We start from the raw sequence: 26,431 nt of genomic DNA on the forward strand, positions 1-26,431 counted from the left end.
CCTCTTTTTTTTTTTTTTTTTTTTTTGAGACGAAGTCTTCCTTTGTCGGCTGGAGTGCAGTGGCGCTATCTCGGTTCACTCCGCCTCCCGTGTTCAAGTGACTCTCCTTCCTCAGCCTCCAGAGTAGCTGGAACTGCAGGTGCACGCCACCACTCCCAGCTAATTTTTTTGTATTTTGGTAGAAAAGGGGTTTCACCATCTTGGCCAGGCTGATCTCAAACTCCTGACCTCAAGTGATTCACCTGCCTTGGCCTCCCAAAGTGCTCGGATTACAGGCATGAGCCACCACACCCGGCCTTACCTTCTTTTTATGACAGATAGAAAACAGCAAATGGAACTACATCAAAATTCTGCCACCAAGTCCACAAATATTTTTGCACCTGTCTCCATCCTTTCCTATCATTCTGCAGGATGAAAATATTCTCTGAATATTCTCTGAATTCTTGTCTAGACAGAGTTACTCCACCATCAAGTATCCCCTTTTTCTCAATGTCTTCATAATGTATCCATTTATCATTTATATTATAAGAACTTAATTACATCAAAATCCTCTCTCTTCATCTTTATCATCCTCCAGCTTCTGTCCCACTCTCCACATCTTCATGACAATTTTTCTCAAAAAGGCTTGCCATTTCTGCTCACAGTAAATGCCCTTCAATCTGCTGTAACTTAGGTTGCTAGGGAATTCTATGTTACTAAACACAGGGAGTACTTTTCTTGCCTAAGCTAAGTGAGCGTAAGTGACATGTCTAGGTTCCAACATCCTTAAAAGGAAAGAAGCAACCTCTTCATTTCCCTTTCATTTAGGCTGAAATCCATTCATGATGGCACAGGCTGGAGTAGCCACTGTAATAAAACTTTGCCCAGAGATAAAACCTTGAGTTGAAATTAACAGACTTGCCTGGCCAGCCCTGTACCACCTTCTTCTGTATTGCCAAAGAAGATAGAAATGTTTTCTGTCTTGTTTAAACCATTGTGTTTGGAATTTTTTTCATTGTATCAGCTTAAACTAAACCTTGACTAATATACTATATTGTTGATGAGGACTCTCAAATCTATTTCTCCATTTTAATCTACAAATTCTTATATTTAATGACTTAATTGATGTGTCTCAGAGACACAAAAATAAATAAATCCAAACTTTTTAACTTTTGATCTCCATCTGCAAACTTGATTTTTCTCTGGTTTCCTGGTCTCTGATACTGACGCCATCAACTACTGCTCTTGGAATCGTTTGGACCCCTCCCAATTCCTCATATACTTGCTGTCATCCACATCCAATCCCTTTCTGTTGATCCGCCTTACAAATGTATCAGTTGTCTATTTCTCTTTATTTTCACCACCATCAGCATAGTCAATCCTCTCTCACCTGACTCTTCCAAAGTCCTTACTATAATCTACAAGGGCCTACATAATGCAATGCTTCATGTTACTGAGTCTTTTCAGAGGACACTCTATGTTCTTTCCATGCCAGCTCTCCTGAGCTTTTCTCATTTACTCACTACTATTGGACTGTTTGTCCTCTCAAAGCCTTTGCACACACTTCTGCCCAGAACACTCTTTTCTCCTTGTGTAAGTAAGTGCTACTCCTAGGTAGGTGCTACACTTCATGACTCAACATCACTTTCTAAGGGGAAAACACTTCCTGAACTCCCAGGCCAGGGGCTAGGATGGGTTTTCCTGTTCTATACTCCTGTGGTCTACTGAAAATCTAGGTGTTTGTTTGTTTGTTTGAGATGGAGTCTCGCTCTGTCGCCCAGGCTGGAGTGCAGTGGCGTGATCTTGGCTCACTGCAACCTCCACCTCCCGGGTTCAAGCGATTCTCCTGCCTCAGCCTCCTGAGTAGCTGGGATTACAGGCGCATGCCACCACGTCTGGCTAATTTTTTTGTATTTTCACTAGAGATGGGGTTTCACTATGTTGGTCAGGCTGGTCTCGAGCTCCTGACCTAGTGATCTGCCCGCCTTGGCCTCCCAAAGTGCTGGGTTTACAGGCATGTGCCACTGCACCTGGCCTGAAAAATCTAGTTTTAAACATTAAACTTGTCATAATTTAATTATTTATTTACTTGAAGTAATTGCATATCCCATTTTCCTACCTAGAGTGACAGAACCATGTCTCTAAGCCCGCACTTGAGATCAGACACAGTTCCTTGTACATACTTTAGGTACTCAATGACAAGTTTTGACTTCTGATTTTAAAAATAATAAAGGATGGAAAGTTCTAAAGTATTTTAAATTTTAGGGTTTATTTCAAGTATATTTCACTGGGGCTTAAGAGACCTTATTAATTATTATGTACTGATACGATGAATTGCACTCACTCCCCCACTTGTTTAGTGAAAGGAAATATCCTGGTTTATACATTTGAGACTATGGAACAACAAACTATTTTTAGAATTTCTCTTCTAAGAATAAAAATGCTGATGCAAACTTTGTCATCAAAAACACAACAAATGAGTTTTGAGTAAGAATGAAAAATACCAGATGAGAGAAAATGCAGTAGGGACAAATCTATGTAAGACTAGCATTTGCTCTTTCAGTGTGACCTGATAGTTTTCCTCCAATCACTTAATTTGGCAAGGCAAGTAAGCATAGTGTGATTTTTTAAAAAATCCTATCTATTTCTCCAGTTTGGCTTTTCAAATAAGGGTACCAGTTGCTATTTTGTTGTTGTTTTTGTAGTTGTTTATGTCATCTACTTTATACAACTGGATGTCTGGGCTCAATGCTAAACTCTGGAATCTAAAATGGCTGTTGTGTGACTCTTTTATATTCAAAATTCTCTACCCTACAATTTTTAATATATTTGTGTCAGCCTGGCCATCTAATAAATTAAAAAATCCCATCATACTCTTGGTGAGCCCCTATCTTTTGATCTAATTACTTTGTGTTGAATAGTTAAGACATATTCTCATTTGAGAATAACCCTTTTCAATTTTTTTTTTATTAAAGAAGTATCTGTCTTTTTTTTTTTTTTTTTTTTGTGGAGATAGAGTCTCACTCTGTCAACCAAACTGGAGTGCAGTGGCGTGATCTCGGCTCACCACAACCCTGCCTCTCAGGCTCAAGCGATTCTCCTGCCTCAGCCTCCCAAGTAGCTGAGATTACAGGCGCGTGCCACTACCATCCGGATAACTTTTTGTATTTTTAGTAGAGATGGGGTTTCACCATGTTGGCCAGGCTGGTCTTGAACTCCTGACCTCAAATGATCCACCCGCCTCAGCCTTCCAAAGTGCTGGAATTACAGGCATGAGCCACCGCACCCGGTCTGTGTAAATATTTTATAACAATCCTCCGAAAAGAGCTCTACCACCATGGTTCCCACAATTAAGTTGATGTGTATGTATATAGAATATACTTAATTCTATTTATTCATTTAACTTAAAGAAGCAACGACTTCAAAGGTCACTAAAAATTACATGAAAATCTAAAATGTCATAGGAAAATTTCCTTTTAAAAGAAGAGTGCTGACTCTGAAAGAATAGTGAAAGTGGTTTAAATTATTTATCTTCCAAGAAGAGGACCTTTGGATATCCCAAGATAAAAGTTATATTAATAGTTCTTTCATTCGATCAATATCTCAACGTCATTGGCAGTTTGTTCCGTAATGGGAAAAAAAAGCCTATTTCTTAAAGGACGGCAGCACAAAACAACTAAATAGAAGAAATCTGTGGCAACTCAACACTTTAGGATTCAGACAAGTGATTGAGAGAACATAAATAAGAAGGCTTGTAAACCATACACATACACACGTGCACACATACAGAGTTTCATCCATAAAAAGACAGCATCATCCACATTTATCTGACCATGCCATTACACAGATTGAAAACTGAGGTGAGGGTAGTACAACAGATAATTCTTTAAAAATGTAAATGTTAATTGAGTTTGAAGAATAAATGGTCTTTTATGATACTTCTGCTTCATGGTTCTAACTGTTTCAAGTTTCATCCTGAGAGATACAGGGAAAATGAAACAGAAAATCCAATCATTGACATTCAAAGCAAGGTCTTCACTTTAGGGACTTACTCCTCCATACAGTAGCTTTTTTCACTTCAAACTATTTAAGTTCATTTGAGTTTTCTATATAGTAAATGGTGGATTAAACAAATGCACAGAAAGCAAAGCTTTCTAGAATGTCTGTCAACAAAATACAAGCCATAGTTGAGTATCAAAGTAATTGTAGGAAAGATAACAGGTGAAAGTCAATCAAATCTGCATTGCTCTTCTCTGAGGTTTAGTCAGGAGCATTCTAGACCTTAGAAGATGGTACTCTTCAGCCAACCCAACTCCACTAATATAAAAAGAAAAAAATCATATGTATATCTAATGATCCAGGGTAATGCAAGATGGTGGGGGCCACTTAAAAATATGAAACTCAAGCTCATTTTTAAAAATAACTTCATTTTTCCTCTCATCCATACATCTTCTTAACTGAGATGTCAACAAATATAAATTGACTTACATAAGTTCATATCCTACAGCTTTCTCTAAGCACTCTGGATAGACTGATGTTAAGAAAATTTTTGAGATTAATTAAACTTTTGTCTGACCTCAACCAAAGGTAAAAATAGCAAAAAGAAAATTAATTTACTCCAAGCCAAAAGAAGAAATTGTGGGTTTCTGCTCTATGTCTATGAAATAGAAATGCTAAAAACTATCTCCTGTTCCCTGTGCCTCAGAATGTAGCTTGATAAATCAGAAGAAAAAAATGGATGCAAAAATCTTCACAACCATAAAGAACAAAATAAATTCTAAGTGTTAGTATTGCTCCTCTTTTCAGAGACTTCATCCAACTTTAAGCATTATGATAAATGAAGGACAAAAAATGTGACGTTATTGTTATTTTTATGAACCTTTCACCAGCACAACTTGATTAATCAAAACTTCTTCAAGGAAATGTATTATTTTAATCATTTAATTAGATTTTTAAAATAGATTTTATGTTTTAGAGCAGTTTTAGGTCCACAACAAAATCAAGCAAAGGGTACAGAGATTTTTCATATACAGGCTGGTCCAACACATGAATAGCCCACCTCACCTCCTATTATCAACATCTCTCACCAAAGTGGTGCAATTGTTACAGTTAATCAAACTACATTGGCATTTCACTATCATCCAAAGTTCATAGTTTACATCAAGGTTTGCCCTTGGTGTTGTATGGGTTTGGACAAATTTATGACATGTATACACTGTTATAGTATCATACAGAGGAATTTAACTTCCCTAAAAATCCTCTGTGTTTCACTTTTTTATTCTTCTCTTCCCCTTAATCCCTAGCAATGATTGATCTTTTTACAGTTTGCATAGCTTTGCCTTTTCCAGAATGTCATATAGTTGGAATCACACATTAAGTAGCCTTTACAGACTGGCTTCTTTCATTTAGTAATATGTATTTAAGTTTCCTCTATTTCTTTTCATGGCTTAATAGTTAATTTCTTTTCTGTTTTCTTTTTCTTTTTCTTTCTTTTTTTTTTTTGAGACGGAGTCTAGCTCTGTCGCCAGGTTGGAGTGCAATGGCACCATCTCGGCTCACTGCAACCTCTGCCTCCCGGGTTCAAGCGATTCTCCTGCTTCAGCCTCCTGAGTAGCTGGGATTACAGGCTCACAGCACCATGCCCAGCTAATTTTTGTATTTTTAGTAGAGATGGGGTTTCACTGTGTTGGCCAGGCTGGTCTTGAACTCCTGACTTCATGATCTACCCACCTCGGCCTCCCAAAGTGCTGGGATTACAAGCATGAGCCACCATGCCCGGCGATAGCTAATTTCTTTTATAGCATTGAATAATATTCCATTATAAACTGGATATATCACAGTTTATCTACTCACCTACTGAAGGACATTTTGGTTGTTTTAAAGTTTTAGTAATTGCAAATATAGCTGCTATAAAGATCCATATGCAAGTTTTTGTGTGGACATACATTTTCAGCTTTTGTGGGTAAATACCAAGGAATGTGATTGCTGAATCATATGGTAAGAGTATTTTTTTAAATAATAAATTGCCTAGCTGTCAAATCAAAATGTCTATAGAATTCTGCGTTTGCACCAGCAGTGAATGAGAGTTCCTGTTGCTACACATCTTTGCCAGCATTTGTTATTGTCATATTTTGGCCATTTTAACGTGTATGTAGTAATATCTCAGTGTTGTTTTAATGTACATTTCCTGATGATATATCATAATGTGGAGCATCTTTTCAAATGTATATACATCTATAAGTCTGTTAAAAACTCTGACCTATATTTTAATTGGGTTGTTTTCTTTTTGTTGAGTTTTAAGAGTTCTTTACATATTTTGGATAATAGTCCTTTATCAGAAATGTCTTTTGCAAATATTTTTCTCCCAGTCCCAGGCTTATCTTTTGATTTTCTTGACAGTGCAGGGTTTTTAATTTTAATGAAATCCAGCTTATCCATTTTTTAAAAATGGATAGTGCCATTGGTATTATACCTTAAAAGTCATCAGCAACGCCAAGGTTGAAGAACAGTTGATTATATTTTGGGGAGTCTTTCTGAGTTTTCATTCTGTTCCATTGATCTGTTTGTCTGTTACTTAGCTGGTTCTAGACTGTGTTTATTACTGTAACCTTAAAGTAAGGCATAAGGTATTTTGGGTAGCATCTGTCCTCCAACTTTGTTTTCCAATATTGTGTTGGCCATTCTTGATCTTTTTCCTCTCCATATAAATTTCAGAATTAGTTGTCAATTTCCACAAAATAACCTGCTAGAATTTTGGTTGGGATGGCATTAAACCTATAGATTGAGTTGGGAAGAGCTAATATCTTGACAATATTGAGTCTGTAGCCATAAACATGGAATATCTCTCCATTTACTTAGTTCTTTGATTTCTTTCACCAAGTTTTATAATTTCCATGTATAGATTATATACATATTTTGTTAGATTTATACCTAAGTACAGTTGGCTCCCTGTATCTGCAATTCTGCATCCACAGATTCAAACAACTAAGGAAACTAGTCAGAAAAAATAAATACATAAAAGAGTAATTAAACACTAAAAATGTAAATAATATAACAACCATTTAAGTAGCATTTACATCATACTATGTCTTATAAATAATCTAGAGATGTTTTAAAGTATATGGTAAAATATATGTAGATTATATAAGGGACTTGAGCATCCATGAATTTTGGTACCCACAGAGGGACCTGAAACCATTCTCCCATGGACAGATACCAAGAGATGACTGTATTTCTTTTTGGGGGTAAGAGGTGCTAATATAATTGATATTGTGTTTTTAATTTCAAATTTTACTTGTTCATTAGTCATGTATAGGAAAGCAATGGACTTTTGTATATTAACTTTGTATTCTGCAATTTTGCTATAATCACTTATTAGTTCCAGAAATTTCTTGGTTGATTCTTTTGGATTTTCTACATACTCATGACATCTGTGAACAAAGGCAGTTTTTTTTTTCTTTACAATCTGTATATCTTTTATTTATTTTTATCTTATTGCATAAGTTAGAGCTGCCATAATGAAACTAAAAAGCAATTGTGAGAGGGGACATCCTTGACTTGTTCCTGATCTTAGTGGGAAAGTATTGACTTTCTCACCATGAATTAGGATGATAACCATTAAGTATAATGTTTTTGGTAAATATTCTTTATTGAATTAAGAAAGTTCAACTCTATTACTAGTTTACAGAGAGCTTTTATATGAATTAGTTTGATTTTGTCAAGTCCTTTTTCCGCATCTATTGATATGATCACGTAATTTTTCTCCATTAGCCTATTAATGTATTAATGGATTACATTAATTGCTTTTCAAATGTTGAACCAATCTTGAACATCTGAGATAAATCCCACCTGGTTGTGGTTTATTATGCTTTTTACGCATGGTTGGATTTGATTTGCTAATACTGTGTTAAGGATTATTACATCTATGTTCATGTGAGATATTTATCTGTTTTTTTCTTTTCTTGTAATGTGTGTCTGGTTTTACGCATTAGGGTATGCTGGCCTCATAGGCTGAGTTAGGAAGTTTTCCTCTGCTTCAATTGTCAGAACAGGACTATACACAATCGGTATAATTTCTATTTGAATAAGATTTTAATTTAATAGCTACAGTATTCATAATGTTATCAGGCATAATTAATAATCAATATTTCCTTGTAACTAATTTGGTACAAATATTCTGATTCGGATTTCTCCTAAAAAAGTAAATTGTAGAGATGGATTATTTAAATTGAAATATTCCTCCATCCATGGCAGTCATCAATTTCTTTAAAACTTATTTTAAGCATAATTTAAAACTTTGTATAGCTCATTTTAAAACTTATTGTTTGTAGTGGGCACTAGTCAATTTTTGGCTACCCAGCATTTGAATTATTTTTGCTGCAGTTTGAAAATGCCCTATCATATGAGTCTTGCTAGAGAGCAGAGCCTACCCCAAACTATCGGACCTGAAATAATACACAGTTGCTTTTCCGGCCTCTAACGTCTCAGCCAATAAGATGCATATTACACAGAAGCTAGAGACTCAAACATAATTTGAAGAGATTTCATTCAAGTGGAATGTGACCAACACGTAATTCCTATAGGTGTTTGTGGCAACAATAGCAAATATGATGTTACTATTCTGTGCCAGCAACATCAGAAGTAAAAGCTGTACAAGTCTTCAAAAGTGTTATCATCAAAGTCCTTCTTGCCCATTTCTGCCATACATGATTTTAACTGTGACTGTGTTTCTGTGATTCCCATATCACTCTTCCTTTTTTAATAGTCACTCATTTTGTTAGCAATACAATATCATTTTAACAAATTTCAGGCAGTCAAAGTTGATTGGTATTGCTAATACACAGTTAATACATAAACAAAGTAAAAAGAAATACACATTTTTTATTTCAGAAAAATAAGATGCTAACTCTAAAGTAGGATACATGAAAAGGAAAAATAGAAAACTGAAAGAAAATGTACAATGGCATAAAAAATCTGCTGTAACTAGTTGGCTACAGAATAACATAGAAACAATAATCATTTTTATTTATGAAGAACTATGTTCCAGATGCTGTGCCAAGTACGGTACTAACATCTCATCTAATTGTAAAAGCAAGCTATGAAGTAGTATTACGGGAGTTATTAAGAAATTATTTGACCAGGCGCAGTGGCTCACGCCTGTAATCCCAGTACTTTGGGAGACCAAGATGGTCAGATCACCTGAGGTCAGGAGTTCGACCCCAGCCTGGCCAACGTGGCGAAACCCCGTCTCTACTAAAAAAATGCAAAAATTAGCTGGGGATGGTGGCATGCACCTGTAATCCCAGCTACTCAGGAGGCTGAGGCAGGAGAATTGCTTGAACCCAGGAGGTGGAGGTTGCAGTGAGCCGAGATCCACTGCACTGCAGCTTAGGTGACAGAGCAAGACCCTGCCTCAAAAAAAAAAAAAAAAAATATTATTTCAGGCAGCTAGAAAGGGTAAAAGAGTCAAAGAGTCCTCAGTAAGGCTTTTTCTTTTAATAAAAACATTTCTAACAGAAAGCGGCTGGAAAAAAAACAGACTTGCAAGCATTGATTTGCAAGCCACAGGCTTGCATACGTAAATGCAGGCTGTCAAGAGTCAGGTCCACCCAATGTGGTGATTCCTGCTCCCTTCCCTTCCCTTCCCTTCCCTCCCCTCCCCTCCCCTCCCCTCCCCCCTCCCCTCCCCTTCCCTCTCCTCCTTTCTTTCTTCTTCTTTTTTTTTTTTCTTTCAGAGTTTCGCTCTTGTCGCCCAGGCTGGAATGCAGTGGTGCAATCTTGGCTTACTGCAACCTCCACCTCCTGGGTTCAAGCGATTCTCCTGCCTCAGCCTCCTGAGTAGCTGGAATTGTAGGTGCACACCACCACGCCCGGCTAATTTTTGTATTTTTAGTTGAGATGGGATTTTGCCATGTTGGCCAGGCTGGTCTCGAACTCCTGACCTCAGGTGATCCGCCCACCTCGGCCTACCAAAGTGCTGGGATTACAGGCATGAGCTACTGCGCCCAGCCTCCTGCTCCCTTTTCTTTGTCCCCACATGTGCAGGTGTCATGGCACAGCCAGGTAGAAGCCTCATTTGTATAATAAAAGGTTAGGCTTGGAGGGCCAGTCTTTTTGCTATGTGAATGACACACCTGGTCAAATCAATCCCGTTTGCCCTGTTTGGGCTCTATGCAATCAGACACCACCTCCTCAAGCCTCTCAATATAACCAACTGCTCCCCCCTGCCCCTTACTGCCCCCCCAACCCCCTACCTGTCCTCCTGCGCAAGGTGTGTTATTCTGTTTGGAGCCCTCCTCCCTCTGTGCCAGGGAGCTGTTCTCTTCCTTCTTGCATATTAAACTTTCTGCTCCTTAATCCACTCCATGTGTGTGTCAGTGTCACTAATTTTCTTGGTGCGAGACAAAGGACCCTGGGTGTTTCCCCAGACAATGGAGCCATTTCAGTAGGTTTTAATGTTGCAGATATAGGTGAGAAAACGAAGGCTTATGAAGGTCACATAATTGTGTTTTGTCATACGGTGAGTATAAAGAACATATGTGAACATGAGTCTACTTGATTCTAAAATCCAAGCTCTTAACCTTTATAATAATACCACTGTGCACTTATAGTTAAATTGTTTTTTTGGTTTCTGTTTTTTTTCTTTTTTTTTTTTTTTTTTTTGAGACGCAGTCTCATTCTGTCGCCCAGGCTGGAGCGCAGTGGTGTGATCTCGGCTCACTGCAAGCTCCGCCTTCCAGGTTCACACCATTCTCCTGCCTCAGCCTCCTGAGTAGCTGGGATTACAGTTGCCCGGCTAATTTTTTTGTTACACCACACCCGGCTAATTTTTTTGTATTTTTAGTAGAGATGGGGTTTCACCATGTTAGCCAGGATGGTCTTGATCTCCTGACCTCGTGATCCACCCGCCTCAGCCTCCCAAAGTGCTGGGATTACACGCGTGAGCCATGCGCCCGGCCTTTATAGTTAAATTGTTAATCACTATGATTGTATATAGGCAGGTTATTGTTACACTTATCAACAATAGTTATAACAACAAATCAAATACTAGAAATAAGAAACTTAATTCAAGTTTTGCTTGAGGGTCTAGAATTTAAGTTATATTCTCACAAAAGAATTCCTTTCAATTCTCCAAACAGCCATTTTTGTATGTTCATTGGTAATTCTTGATAAAATAATACAGTATAATGTATTAAAAAACAGTAAGGGGATAAACACTCTGTGGTTCCCCTGTGTATGTGTTAATAAAATCTATATGCCTTTTCTCCAAAGAACTGAAAACAAAACAGTACATTGTAAGTTTTCATCGAATAGATTTATGATGCAATAAAAAAGCAATTGAGTAAATTATTTCTGTTCTCCAGCTTAATACATATGTTGGTTTTACAGAAATACATAAATTCTCAATCAATCAAAAGTTAGAAAATTTAAACATCACTCATTTTTCTTGGTCCATATGAAATGTCTTTCATCTTTTTTTTTTTTTTTTTGAGACAGGATCTCACTCTGTTGCCCAGGCTGAAGTACAGTGGTGCAATCATAGATCACTGCAGCCTCAACCTCCTGAGCTCAAATGATCCTGCCTCTCCAGCCTCCCCAGTAGCTGGGACTACAGGCATGTGCTACTATGCCCAGCTAATTTTTTTATTTTTTTTTTTTGTGGAGACAGGGTCTGACTACGTAGCCCTGGCTAGCCTCAAACTCCTGGCCTCAAGTGATGCTCCCATCTTAGCCTTCTAAAAAGCTGGGATTATAGACATGAGCCACTGTCTGGCCCTCTTGCATCTTGGTGTTATCTCCACACCCAGGCTCAGCATAGTGAAACACACAGAGTTGTTTTGCCTGTGTTCTGCCATCACTCAGCTTGATCCTGGAAAGTAGTCAGAAATGTCAAATTTAAGACAAAACTAAAGTTAGAACTGTAGGTTTTGCCTCTGTTCTCCAGACTGCATAACTCTCTTGTCAACTGTTTCCTATATTTAAAATCAGCCAACCAAAATAGGTGGAATCATTCTTGGTAATACTGTTAGCAATCATGACTAGGGAACAAAGCCCTGCTACCTTAGAAAATCCAGCCCTTGCTGTGTGATGAAGACCCTTCCCTTACAAGAGAGCACAAGTGCAAATATTCAAGGAATCTATTCCAATTAATCTCTATTACTATAATGATTTTAGACTCATTATGTTGGAAAGAAGCCATGAAGAATGGAGTGGGGCATGGTCCTCACAGGGCCACAACAATAACTGAGGGTGAAGGCTCAGGCTCCCTGGAGAGATCGACTGGAGGGGATCAAAGCCAACTGACCCTCAGTGACAAATGGACAGTAACCATTGACCCTTGTAATTTATATTTAGCATTCCTAGTACATACAAATGTGATAATCAGGTACAGAAGCTAAAAACACATTTTCCCTTTTTCTAAAAGAAAAAGATGAATGCTATCATATACAAATTACGGTAGGTTTCCCAAATATCAATTTTTTAAACATCTTTTTCTAAGGAAAATTTATCACAATTTCCAAAACATTATTTTTCTTTGTTCATATGCTTTGAATGTAATCTATATTTGGATGTGCAAAATGTATTACCTTAATGCTGCCTCCTGAGTGATAAATCTTCAGAATCAGCCACATGAATATGAGAAATAAATGAGTTTGGGATTTTTGGTTTTCGCGTTTTTGCTCTATAATAAAATCTTGTTTAATTTTGGTACTTAACCATTAACCTTATTCAACAGACATGAATCTTATTGACACAGTTGTTTAAAAAGTCAAATTCATCTTTAAAGGGCAAAGTTTGGTTGCCACGAACACTATCCAATAAAAAGAATCCTAGATGTGAAGAGAAATCCACAGGTGGCACCAGGAAAACAATTGTTGCATATACAGTTTTTGTTCAGCTACATTTGAAGACTATTTCCTAAACTGGAATGGTTGGGGTTGAAAACACATGTACCTAGAAATTATGCTACATGTATTCATAAGGACTGTATCATGAACATGAAAATCAACAGAATGGTCATTAACATCTCTGATTCCAAAAGATAACCAGTGTCATCTATCATATTGTAATGATGTTTATTTCACCTGAGAGTTTTTCCAATAAGCCTTGGAATAAGAAAAGTCCTTTAGGAGAGGACTTTCTTCTCTGTGTTCTTAGAAATCTGTCCTTTCCAACTGGTAAACTTCACATTCATTGTTTAGTTGTTACAAATTAATTTTGCTACTTGTCATTTCAGAGTTTTCTTTTCTTACAGGCGTTTCAAGCATCTAGTGTTTAATTTTCTTATCAAACAGTCACACATATAAACCTATTTATTCTGTCTCAAATCTTTGTTTTCTATATTTAATATATGAATGAGTATGAGTGTGTATGCATGTGTGTTTGGGCAGGTGAGTAGGTGGTTGTGTGTGTGAAGGTACTTTTATGTGATAAATATAAGCTTCTAAAGGGAAATGTTCTGACTCATAAAATTTATACAGGGATTTCAAATTCTATTTCTTATTATGCGTGTCTGAATCTATAAATTGTTAAAATCTATTTAATATTTTTGCAAGGGAATACATTTTCTGCTACTTTTCTTTGTTGCAGAAATAACTTACCACTTCAAGCACAGTTTTCCTGTGTTTCTGTTTGTTTAGGTTTAGGGCTTGGGTGGGAGTTCCTTGTATTGTGTGGTTTTCTAAAAGCAGAATATAATGTTTTTGTATAGTTCTATTAAACTGAAATCAAGAACTCTATGGTATGAGTAAAATTTGAAGGTGATTCTAATTCAATTCTTTATGTAGTCAAATCCCAATGTCACCACATTTGAGTAATCCAACTTACTGTTTTTTTCATAGTGAGTTGAATTAATATTGAATTGATGATACCTAATTTTGATTTCTTTTTAGCTGTGAAAAAGGACTTTCAATTTTTCTGCCATTCTTCATGTGCAATGACCAAGTCTTTTCTTCACTCTGATCAATTTCTCCAGCCACATTTTAGCATAGGCCCTTCTTAAGAGATAGTTTCCATACATCAACCTGCTTCTCTGAGTGAGAGAATAGAAGTCCTTAACTGGAAGAATTAAAACAAAACAAAACACCTGAAATCAGTTCTCTTTTTCATAAATTAGAAGGAATGGGTAGGAGTGGCTGGTTTAAAGACTACTGCTGTCTCATCACGACTTCCATTGAGTTGGTCAATAATGACAAATTAATTTTAACAAAGAAACACTTTTCTCACTCATTTTCTCATTTGTATCCCCACTATGGCATTGATATAGCTCAGGCCTCTAACATCTCTCATCTTGGCTGATGCAAAAACTGCCTCATTGGTATCTATTCTTCCAGCCATGCTCCAGCCACCCACACTTCGGCAGTGGCCCACTCCATTTCCATCATCAACACAGCTGTCAGAAGAATCTCCCTAATGTAAATCTAAAAGTGCTACTACTGACTAGCATGTATCAAATACTTGCTATGAGCTTTATCCACATTTCCCAAATTCTCCAAATAGCCCCTCAAAGTAGTAATTGTTATCTTATTCTACGGACAATAATACCAAATTTAGAGAGGGTGGTTAAATTTTCTGAGATCGTACATCTAGTAAATAGAGAAGCTGGCATTTGAACACAGGTCTGTTACATCCAAAAGCCACACTCATTACACTACACTAGGGTCCATCTATTACTTTCCAGCCTCATCAGCTGCCGTTTTCCTCCCCATACAGTGACTTTTAGCAATTTATGTTTTTTTAATTTATTATTCTCTCTCATATTTCTTTTGTTTTTGACCACAGTGCCCTTTCCTTATTTTTGTCTGAAGATAAGTATATGGAAAACAATAATGAAATGGTATGTTTTTCCTAGGGCTTCTGTAACAAACTGGGTGACATAAAACAAAAGAAATTTTATCTCTCAGTTCTGGAGGTTAAAAGTCCAAAATCAAGGTGTTGGCAGAGGCATGCCATCTCTCTGCCTGCTTCTGGACTTTGCCAGCAATCCTGGGGATTCTTTGATTTGCATTTGTATAATTGTTGCCTCTGTGATCACAGTGCCATCTTCCTTCTGTGTGTCTTTGTGTTTCCATGCATTTCTTCTTCTTTTTTATTTTTTTAAGTTCTGGGATACGTATACAGGATATACAGGTTTGTTACATAGGTAAACGTGTGCCATGGTGGTTTGCTGCACCTATCAACCTATCACCTAGGTATTAAGCCCAGCATATATTAGCTGTTTTTCCTGATGCTCTCCCTCCCCTACTGCCACCCCAACAGGCCCCAGTGTGTGTTATTCCCATCCCTGTGTCCATGTGTTCACATTGTTCAGCTCCCATTTATAAGTGATAATGTGCAGTGTTTGGTTTTCTTCTCCTGCGTTAGTTTGCTGAGGATGATGGCTTCCAGCTCCATTCGTGTCCAGGCAAAGGACATGATTTTGTTCCTTTTTATGGCTGCATAGTATTCCATGGTGTATATGTGCCACATTTTCTTTATCCAGTCTATCATTGATGGGTATTTGGGTTGATTCCATGTCTTTGCTATTGTGAATAGTATTGCAATGAACATATCCATGCATATATCTTCATAATTGTCTCTCCTCTTCTTATAAAACCATCAGTCATATTGGATTAAGGGCCCACCCTGTTTCAGCATAAGCTTATCTTAAATTACATTTTAGGTACATCTGCAAAGACCTTATTTCCAAATAGGGTCATCTTCATAGGTACCAGGAATTGGGACTTCAACATGTTTCTGGGGACACAACTCAACCTACCATAAATGGTAACTGACACCAATAATTTTAAAACAACAAATTATAGTTGACATGTGACTAACAAATTCACACTAACTGTCAGCTGTTAAAACTTAGTTGAAGTATTACTTCCCCTTAAGCAACTTCCCTCATACCTCCTCTCCATCTCACATTTTAGGCAGAGATAGATGTCGCCTCCTTAATGCTCTAGGTCCTTATAATATTTCTACCATAATATTAAGACAAGTTATAATTATTTATGTGCCAATATCTCCCCCTCCAGAGTATGAAATCAGAGAATCTGTCTTATTCAGCTTTTTAGCCTTAGCACCTCACATCATGACTAGCATGTAGCAGACATGCACTGTATAGTTGCTTTATTAAATTTATTATCTGACGCATTGTCAAATTGATAGATATCATAATGCCAACAGGTTTCCATTTATTGTGTACTTTTTATATAGCCAGGCATTATCTAAGTATCAAGAATTATGAAAAGTCTGAGAGTATTATTTTTTAACCAGTTAGCCTACCATTGTTTTATAGATGCTGGCAGAAAAGAATAGACTTCAGGGTCACAGATGAAGGACTTTATTATTTATAGCAGAGCAGGAAGCATGAGCCCCAAGTCTGCATCTATTCTTTACCTACCGGGATCTCCAGGGACATTATACTCACATAAGTGCTGCTCATAGAGTCGGTTTGTATCACAACTAAGGAACACCAAGTTTAGAAAACTCCAATGTTTTAAAGAGGGTTGCTAGCAAACTTGCCTAACCTTTGTCCTAGAGGGCGATATCATCTTAATAAAGACAATATTCCTGACCTCTGCCCTGATGGGAGACATTATCTCTGTCTTCCAAGGCTGTTTCCTATACAAACATCATTAAAAAGATAGTCCAGAACAAAAGTTAATACAAGACATGCAGAAAGGCCCTGAATTGTCTCCCAACAATAAGTGTTTTATATCCATCAACTCACTTTCTCTTTACTTATCATATTTCATGCCCCTTTCTAGATAAGCAAACTAATGCAGTTATCTCATGACATAGATATTAAGTTGCGTGACACTTAGTAATTTCATGGGTTTCCTTTGATTTTTTGTTCAGGACATCAGAAAATCGTTACATCTCACTGTTTTGATTTCATGAATGTGTAGTGCTGGGAACTGTTTCATGTTATTTTATCCTCTTCAAAACAACTCTAAAATACAAGTATGCTAGGAATAAAATCTGTGCCTACCTCATTAAGGTGGTGTCAATATTAAATGAGTTAACAAAAGGAAAGCACTTTCTGTAGTGCCTTGCATTTGTTAAGTGCTCAATAAATCATAGATACTATTTTATAGATTGTTAAATGGGGCATAGAATGATTAGATGCTTATACAAAGTGACAAATGTGTAAGTATCAAAGGTGAGATTTGAGTACAACATGTCTAACATCAGGGTTGACTCTCCTAAACACAACAATATGATAGTGTTACTCCTTATACTTGTTATCCTCCTCTTCATGCTGTCTAACACCAGCTCTTCTGTACAATGCTTCATTTCCCTGATAACCTTTCTATCTTGGTTCTAGTTCCCTTTCATTTTTGACCCTTCGCACTGCTTTGTGGATCTCAGTGTAATGATGCCTCTCTGGAAGTCAGATTCTTAGCCTCCACTGACTGTCTCATATACATTGGGCATCTCCAGGGAGGCAGATATGGCACACCATATGCTGGACACTTATACACCTTTCCAAGTCTTCATACCCTTTGTTAGAAAAGGCTTTCAAATGCAGTGATTCTCAAGCTCCTGGGTGCAGCCTCGGTGTGGTATGAAATACATAGAATGTATCAGAAACAGTAATGAAATAGACTGCAGTGAGACAAAACTGAATAAAATGGAGAATGTTAGAGTGCATCATACATGAGAAAGGTAAATAGTGTCCTTGTGTGTGTCTGTGTGTGTACATGCGTTACCTGGTCCCAATAGAAATTGTCAAAGGTTTGAAAGCCACTTCTTCAGTAAAATTACATATGCAGAAATCTGCCTACTGGTAAAACCTCTTCACTCTAGAATCTAAATATCTGATCTAAATATTTTGTTATTATTATTTATTATTATTATATTTCCTTTTCAAACTCTTTTTAGGCTACGGTAGACAACTTGCCATCAAATTACTATCAACTACATTACTCTAACCTACTTTTCCCCCAGTATTGTTGCCCACTGGGAATTTTTCCAGTAGGCAGTCTACCTGATAGCATTTTAGAGTCATGCACATATCTCCAACATCCTACATGATCAAGGAATATCGATTGAGGTTCTAACACAATTAATTTGGCTCAACCATTATATTGTCTTATTTAGTCTGAGAAATATCTTAGTATTAATAAGAATAAGTCCATTTTCTTTTTTTCCTAGATATAAACACATACAATGTTCATGCTAATAAAAAACTCTTCTCCAAGGATGACCATATCTCTATGTTGTTCACACTCAGTCGGCTTCTTATTGAATTTTCTTGTAATGTACTCATATATTGGGATCTATCTTTCAAACACATTTCCTTAACTTTAATTAATAATCAATTAGAAATTATTAATTAGTCTGTCATTTATCTGATTTTTTCAATGCAAATGTCTCCTTTGATGGAAGACCCATATCTTCCAAACCGGTATCTACCCCCCAAAAATGGGAGACTCAAAATAATGCAAGGCATGGTGCCTACTCAAGAACTCACAAAGCATCCTAGAAATGGAAACTTTATTAAAATGAAAAAAAAAAGAGAGTTCACAAAGCATAATACATGAGACTCCATAATGGATAAAACTATACACTTTGGTGGTGTTAGGAGCTGGATTATGTCTTCCCTCAGAATTCATGTGTTGAAATCTAACCCACAGTGCCTCAGTATGTGACTATATTTGGAGATAGTCTTTAAAGATGTTTCTAAGGTAAAATGGAGGTGATTCATGTAGGCCCTAATCCAATATGGCTGGTGTATTTATAAGAAGTGATTAGGACACAGACACACACAGCAAAAAGACAACGTGAAGACACAGAATGAAAATGGCCATCTATAAACTAAGGAGAGAGACTTCAGAAGAAACCAACCCTGATGCCGCCTTGATCTCAGACTTACAGCCTCCAGAATTGTGATAAATAGATAGATAGATAATCATAATCAATATGTAGATACACAGATTCTTTTTAACAATTCACTACTGAATGTCATTAGGAGATATGGCAAATTGCAGACTGAAGCAATAAATTATGATGTATTCTCTTACAGAAGCCAAAAACTGAAATAAGGAGAATACTAATTTAAAATTCAAATTAAGTTTGGGGGATGGTGTGTGCCCTGATGGGGTGCGCTGAGCGAGCCAGGAGGCACGGAGTCACTGCAGAGCGCAGGGTTTCTTGACCACGTGGACAATGTAAATTTGAATTCTAGATCCAAGTAAGAATAAGGAAGTGGCACCCAATCCTCTGAGTTCTGATCTCCCAGGCTTGGCCTACAAGTTTTTTTGTTTGCTTTCCTGTTGCATCTTTGATACCATTTCCTAGAGGCTGCTCCATGATTTAACTTGAAATTCTGAAACAAAGATAGAGGAGGCAGTGGGAAAACTCGAATAACTCATTGAGTCTGAAGTCCCACCAAAAACATCTGAACAAGAGACAGCGAAGGAGGAAGATGAATCTGTAGAACTGGAATCTCAAGTTCAGAAAGACGGTGTAGCAGATTCTGCAGTTCTTTCTTCAATGCCCTGCTTGTTGATGGAGCTGAGAAGAGACTCTTCTGAGTCTCAGCATCCACAGAGAGTGACAAGCCTACAACTGGCCAAGTTTATGAGAGTGACTCCTCTAATCACTGCATGCTTTGCCCTTCTTCTAGTGATCACCTGGCTGATTCAGACACGTTGTCTTCCGCAGAAGAGAATGAACCCTCTCAGGCAGAAACAGCGGTAGAAGGAGACCCTTCAGGAGTGTCTGGTGCCACAGTTGGGCGCAAGTCTAGGAGGTCCCGATCTAAAAGTGAAACATCCACTATGGCTGCCAAGAAAAACTGGCAATCCAGTGATAAACAGAATGGGTTAAAGGTCATTGGAGCCAAAAGCACAAGGAGAGGATCAGGCTACTGAGGCACGAACGGGAGGTTGCTGCAAGCAGTACAACCTGCTGCAGGACAGTAAGTAGTACCAGTGACAGTGACCTGACTTGTGACAAGCACGAGCTCATCAGATGATGATGAAGAGGTTTCAGGGAGCAGCAAGACAATCACTGCAGAGATACCAGATGGACCTCCAGTTGTAGCTCATTATGATATGTCTGACACCAGCTCTGACCCGGAAGTGGTAACTGTGTACAATTTATCGGCGGCTGCAGTAGTTCAAGAGCACAATAATTCTATAGGCGGCCAGGACACAGGAGCTACCTGGAGGACCAGCTGGCTTCTAGAGGAGCTGAATGCAGAGGCAGGTCATTTGCATCCAGGATTCCTAGCAAGTGACAAAATATCTGCCGGCAATGCACCGCTCAATGAAGAAATTAATATTGCCTCTTCAGATAGTGAAGTAGAGATTGTGGGAGTTCAGGAACATGCAAGGTGTGTTCATCCTCGAGGTGGTGTGATTTGGAGTGCTTCTTCGTGGAAGCATGGCTCGGGCACACAGTATCTTAGCACCAGGCAGACACAGTCATGGAACTGCTGTGAGCCCCCAGCAGACTTGGGCTTCACCAGCAGAAGTTATTGACCTTATCTCGGATGAGGATAGCAGGCATAAATACCTACTGTGACACAATGTCACTGTGTTTCTCCTGCACTGTTCCCTTCCAATTCCTCATCTTCTTTGTGTCATGGAAGTTCATTGTCATGGCTTCAGCTTCAGAAGCTGTTTGTGGCATTTGTAGGATTCAAACTCATGGAAAATTCCCTCCTTTCCTCCTCTTCTTAATTAAAAGAAGTCAGGAAAAAAAAGTAAATTAAATTTAAATAACCTGAAAAAAAATGATGGGAGAAACTCCTAAATTTTTACATTCTGGCATTCAGTATAACACTTTTATCCATTTTAGCATCATATAGGCATTTAAAGGGAATTAAATATCTCTGGAACACAAGCAACAAAATTGAAAAAGTTAAACAATTTAATCAATAATGTGTGAAATATACAAAGTTCAAAAAAATTATTGAGGCCAGGCACTGTGGCTACTGCCTGTAATCCCAGCAGTTTGTGAGGCTAAGGCAGGAGGATCGCTGGAGGCCAGGAGTTTGAGACCAGCCTGGGCAACCTAGTGAGACCTTGTATCTACAAAATATAAAAATACATAAAAAATAAAATAGCCCTTGCAAAAAAAACAAAGTATGGAAAAAAGAAAAAAAAACACAGTTTACATAATCTTCTAATTGTAAACTCATTTATTAAAGAAACAAAGGCTTTTTTTCTCTTTTCAAAAAGTTTGCTCCTGTTCATAGCTCGTACCCACTAAGCACTCAGAACACAGAAGAACCCTATAAGCATGCTCTGTGGAGCACAAGAGAACTTTTCTGGATGGAAGAATTGCTATATTAGTTTCCACTGTCTCTATATTAGATGTAAGGAAAAGAAAGCCACCCCAGTCCTTGCACAGCGAGCCACGCAGAATATGCACTAGATGCCTGCAAGTCATAAACTGGAATATGAGACCCTCCATCATCAAGTGTAGCCAGTGTTTCCGGGTTTACTTCTCTCTATTCCTCACCTTCTCTCTAGCTGTGCATCACTGTTTCATTTTCTAGTTCCTTGCTTTTTTCAGTGTTGGCTTTCTGTCCTCTTCCTACTTATACCTTTTTCTTCATCCAACACCCTATCATCAAAGTCACCACTCTCCACTCCGCCAAGATTTTGCTTTCAAACCCCTCTGTGAAAACTTTTTGATTTTCTCAAGCCATATATAAATCATTGCAAGTTCATTGCACTAGGCGTACACATTTTTTATTTAATCTTTTCTACGTCTTAATGGAGCAGGCAGTAAATATTAAATGAAATATCACATGTAAAAATGCATGGCAATGGCTGAAGCTTAGTGGGCATTCAGTAAACATCATTAATATGATGATGATGTCTTAATCCATCTCTTATTCTCTGCTTAGCATAGTGTTCTGTACATGGCTGATCCTCAATAGATATTTATAGGCTATGTTATAGAAACACATATCTTGTCCAGAGACTCAAAGGTGAAAAAGTAATGTTTTTAAAATTTTATTATTTCAAAGTTTCTTTTCCCCCCAAGTGGTTGATATGTACTTTCAGTCAAATTGACTTTTTCTATCCTTTTCTGAAGCAATGAAAGCAGAATACTTAGCTGTTGAGAGAAAGGTAGGGTAACTGGTAAAATATATTAGTTAACACATTATTATCCTACTACAAGTGATTATAACTCATTGATTTATTTTCTGAACACTCCATTTAACATTGAATTGATGAAATTTTAACAATTATAGGAGGCCTTCCCTGGGGAAAGGAAGAAAATTTTTCCTATTTATAAATTCTCCTCATAAAAAATTTTTCTTGTGTATACCTTTAGAGATACCTTAAGAATTTCACAACCAGATATAAAATATGGTTTACTCTTTTTGGAGAGTTATTAGGAAAAGATAGTTATGGCCTGGGAAAAGAAAAAGTAGTAAAATAATGCATAATAAGTACTGATTTTGCCACAAAGGCTTGATACAGATTAATAAAAGTGAAACAAAGCAAACCTTGGCCTCAAAATTATATTATTGTAGTATCTATAAGGACCAAAACCAGCTCGGTCGGTGTCTCACGTGTCCATGTGAAGAGACCACCAGACAGGTTTTGTGTGAGCAACAAGGCTATTTATTTCACCTGGGTGCAGGTGGGCTGAGTCCGAAAAAGGAGTCAGCAAAGGGTGGTGGGATTATCATTAGTTCTTATAGGTTTTGGGATAGGCAGTGGAGTTAGGAACAATGTTTTGTGGGCAGGGGGTGGATCTCACAAAGTACATGCTCAAGGGTGGGGAGAATTACAAAGAACCTTCTTAAGAGTTGGGGAGATTACAAAGAACCTTCTTAAGGGTGGGGGAGATTACAAAGTACATTGATCAGTTAGGGTGGGGCAGAAACAAATCACAATGGTGGAATGTCATCAGTTAAGGCTATTTTCACTTCTTTTGTGTATCTTCAGTTGCTTCAGGCCATCTGGATGTATATGTGCAGGTCACAGGGGATATGATGGCTTAGCTTGGGCTCAGAGGCCTGACAGTCAGGGAGACCCTAACCCAGCAGTACTAGAGGAATTAAAGATACACACACAGAAATATAGAGGTGTGGAGTGGGAAATTAGGGGTCTCACAGCCTTCAGAGCTGAGAGCCTCGAACAGAGATTTACCCACGTATTTACTGACAGCAAGCCAGTGATAAGCACTGTTTCTATAGATTATAGGTTAACTAAAAGCATTTCTTACGGGAAATAAAGGGATGGGCCGAAATAAAGTGATGGGTTTGGCTAGTTATCTGCAGCAGGAGCATGTCCTTAAGGCATAGATCACTCATGCTATTGTTTGTGGTTTAAGAACACCTTTAAGCTGTTTTCCGCCCTGGGTGGGCCAGGTGTTCCTTGCCCTCATTCCGGTAAACGCACAACCTTCCAGTGTGGGCATCATGGCCATCATGAACATGTCACAGTGCTGCAGAGATTTTGTTTATGGCCAGTTTTGGGGGGCCTATTCCCAACAAACAAGGATGGAGGTAAGATGCCTTTTAGAGGAACCAAAACAAATAAGATGAGACTAAGGAAAGCAAGACTCAGCTAGTATAAAAGGAAGAAATTAATCAAAACCTATTTGGATATGGAGGCAGAATTCAGCATTTTCTAAGGCAACACTAGAAAACCATGAAACATTTGGATGGAGGAAAATGAAACAAAATGTACTTTTATTGTTTTCACAAAATACATTTTAGTATGCATATCTGTAGCAAAGTCAAACACTATTACAAACATCTCATTCAAATTAAAGAGTACTGAGAATCTAAAAATTATTTTTAAGAAAGTAAGGGATAGTAGTAAATAAATATTCAGATTACTATTTTTGCTATATAAGATATGTAAAATATTGTTGCTATTGTCTGTATTTTATGTGCCAACTATATTGTTTTATTTTAATGGAGGTAAAAATACACAGAATATGTACATACAGGTCACTCCAGATTTTTGTCTCTAGCACATTTTTCAAAAGAGTATGAAGATCCTTAACCAAAATTCTTCTAACCAGAAGGTATTTATTTATTTTTTATTTTTATTTTTTGAGACGGAGTCTCACTCTGTCTCCCAGGCTGGAGTGCAGTGGTGTTATCTCAGCTTACTGCAACCTCTGCCTCCAGGGTTCAAGCTATTCTCCTGCCTCAGCCTCCCAAGTACGTCGGGTTACAGGCGTGAGCCACCACACCCAGCTAATTTTTGTTTTGTTTTGTTTTTTAGTAGAGGCAGTTTCACCATGTCAGCCAGTCCGGTCTCAAACTCCGACCTCAGGTGATCCATCTGCCTCGGCCTCCCAAAGTGCTGAGAATACAGGCATGAGCCACTGCACCCAGCTCACCAGAGGGCATTTTAAAGACCCTATCCTCAAGTATAGGGAGGAACTATCACCTAGGATTGAACAGAATTGAAAACAAAATTTTTTTCTGAGAAAATGCAATTTAATTTTTACAGTTAGTATTTAAATAAAATAGAAAATGATGCCATTATTGTTGTGACAACTCAAGAAGTCTACAAATTGTCACATGTATCTACTTACTATTTTATGTTTTACCTTCTTTTTTTTTCTATTTCTGAGTCTAAAAACAACAGTATCTTTAAGATCATACAATGCCTTCCTCTTAACATTTATGACATCATTTGAAATAATATTATGCAAACTCAACAGCTTTCTCCTAAATGCTATTAGCTTTATCCTAAGTCATTTCTTTGCTATCATATAAATGTAATTCTTCACCTGCTAAAATAATAATTTGTCATCTTATTTAGAAGGTTAAAAAATGAAGAATGAGCAGACAAAATTGTAGGAGGGATTATACCTTAGTAAGTATAGCTAAGTGGCTGGATTTACCTATGTAACTATAGGTACAAAGATATCCCTAGCATTCATAATTCAAATTTTCTACTCACGGTTTTAGAGTTTGCTAATTTACTTTGAGTGCCTTTATTAGTTAATAACATCTAAAGTTTAGTGAACTCTTGCTGTATGTCAAACATTTTGTCTGCATTATCTCATTTAATCCTCATAATTCCCCAAGAATTACTCTATTTAAAAAATAATAAAACTATGATAAAAAGAAGGGTTACTTTGCCAATGTCATATAGACAGGAAGCTGGGGAACTAGATTCTGAGCCCAGGTCTGTCTGATGACAGAATTACGGAATTCAGAATCCATATTCCTCTATACTCTCTAGAATTTCTCTAGAGTCTTTCATTCCCAAGTGACAATAATCTAAACCAGCTTTTAAAAAGGAAGAATGGGAAGAGTGTTACTGGCTCAGGGAACCAAATCAAAGAGATGGTAAAATTTATCTCAAAGGCAAGTAGATTTTGTGCCTGAAGCAATGCCAGAACTTTCTGTCCCTTATCTATGACTCTATCAGATATTCCATTCTTTCCTATAGATGAAATTTTTCCCTTCAGGGGATTACCAGTGGACACACTGGTAGGCAATGGTTGTGGTCTAAGTATCACCAAAGAAATGAACACTTTCTCAGGAAAGTAGAAAATTGGATTAGAGGAGAAACCAGTATTAGGTGGAACCAGTCATTTTGAACATCAAAAGAGGCCCAGAGGGTAGTGGTAGAGGCAACCTAGGTGACAAAAGTCACCTAGTTAATACCTGAGTTAATACACGGGTATTGGAACCTCCTAACTGTGTGATGTTAGCAAATGACTTGGCTTCACTTAAGTATCAATTATTTTGTTATCTGAAAGAGGTACTGTAAGAACTAAAATAATTAATGCATAAAATATAATCTTAGTAACAATCTATGGAGTTCGGATGAACACGAGGATACTGAAGAAAGGCTAATAATTTGATGCATATTTAAACAGATAATCTTCAAATATTTATTTAGCCTTTACTGAATTGTTGAATTGGGATAGGGTAAGCATTGTGGGCCACTTCAAGTTCAAATTCAAAAATTTGGATTTACTGCATGCATTAAAATAACACATTACTAGCTTATTGAAATTGTCTTTCAATTTTGTTCACTTCTAGACTAGAACATTAATATAGAATGTGATCTGAGAGACCAAAGTAGACATCTCTTTGCCAACTAAGACAGACCCTAAAGTTAAGGAAATAGGGTTCAGGGCTCCGCTGGCGTGGCAACTTGCTAAATTTCTATGGCCACAAGAAAGACCACACTCTTGCTAAACACCTTAACAACAGGAGCTATCAGCCAATTGTCAGACCCTTCCTAACTAATTTAGAACCCAGGCCACTACAACTCTGACTGGGCAGAGGACCTTACAAACATTCTCTCCTGATAAGCAACTGCAGACCTCAAGACAGTTTTGACCAGCTTATAAAATTGCGCACAAACTGTCTTTGTGTCCTATAGTTCACCTTCTGATGTAAATAATCAAATTCTACCTCATTTTAATGCTAAAATCCCACCCCAAAGTAAACACAGGATGTATGTTACCTATACATTTATCCATTTGTGCATGTGCTCAACTCTCCTCA

The 26,431-nt window shown here is 37.5% G+C and overlaps 1 long non-coding RNA gene and 1 pseudogene across 1 annotated transcript in view, besides 1 other annotated feature; one reads left to right on the forward strand and one right to left on the reverse strand.

Annotated features, from left to right (window-relative positions):
- The window catches only part of LINC01090 (long intergenic non-protein coding RNA 1090), a 252,096-nt gene that overhangs the window by 172,288 nt on the left and 53,377 nt on the right, over positions 1-26,431 (reverse strand). The gene's annotated exons all lie outside the window — the stretch shown is intronic.
- Positions 19,234-20,679, forward strand: LOC729141 (arkadia (RNF111) N-terminal like PKA signaling regulator 2N pseudogene; annotated as a pseudogene).
- Positions 26,066-26,266: a silencer, noted in NCBI's record as "peak3993 fragment used in MPRA reporter construct". NCBI's record gives its function as "represses an SCP1 promoter by STARR-seq MPRAs in K562 erythroleukemia cells {active_cell/tissue: K562}" and the evidence as "EXISTENCE:reporter gene assay evidence [ECO:0000049][PMID:32103011]".

The sequence above is a fragment of the Homo sapiens genome, chromosome 2, assembly GCF_000001405.40.
Source record: "Homo sapiens chromosome 2, GRCh38.p14 Primary Assembly".
NCBI lineage: Eukaryota > Metazoa > Chordata > Mammalia > Primates > Hominidae > Homo > Homo sapiens.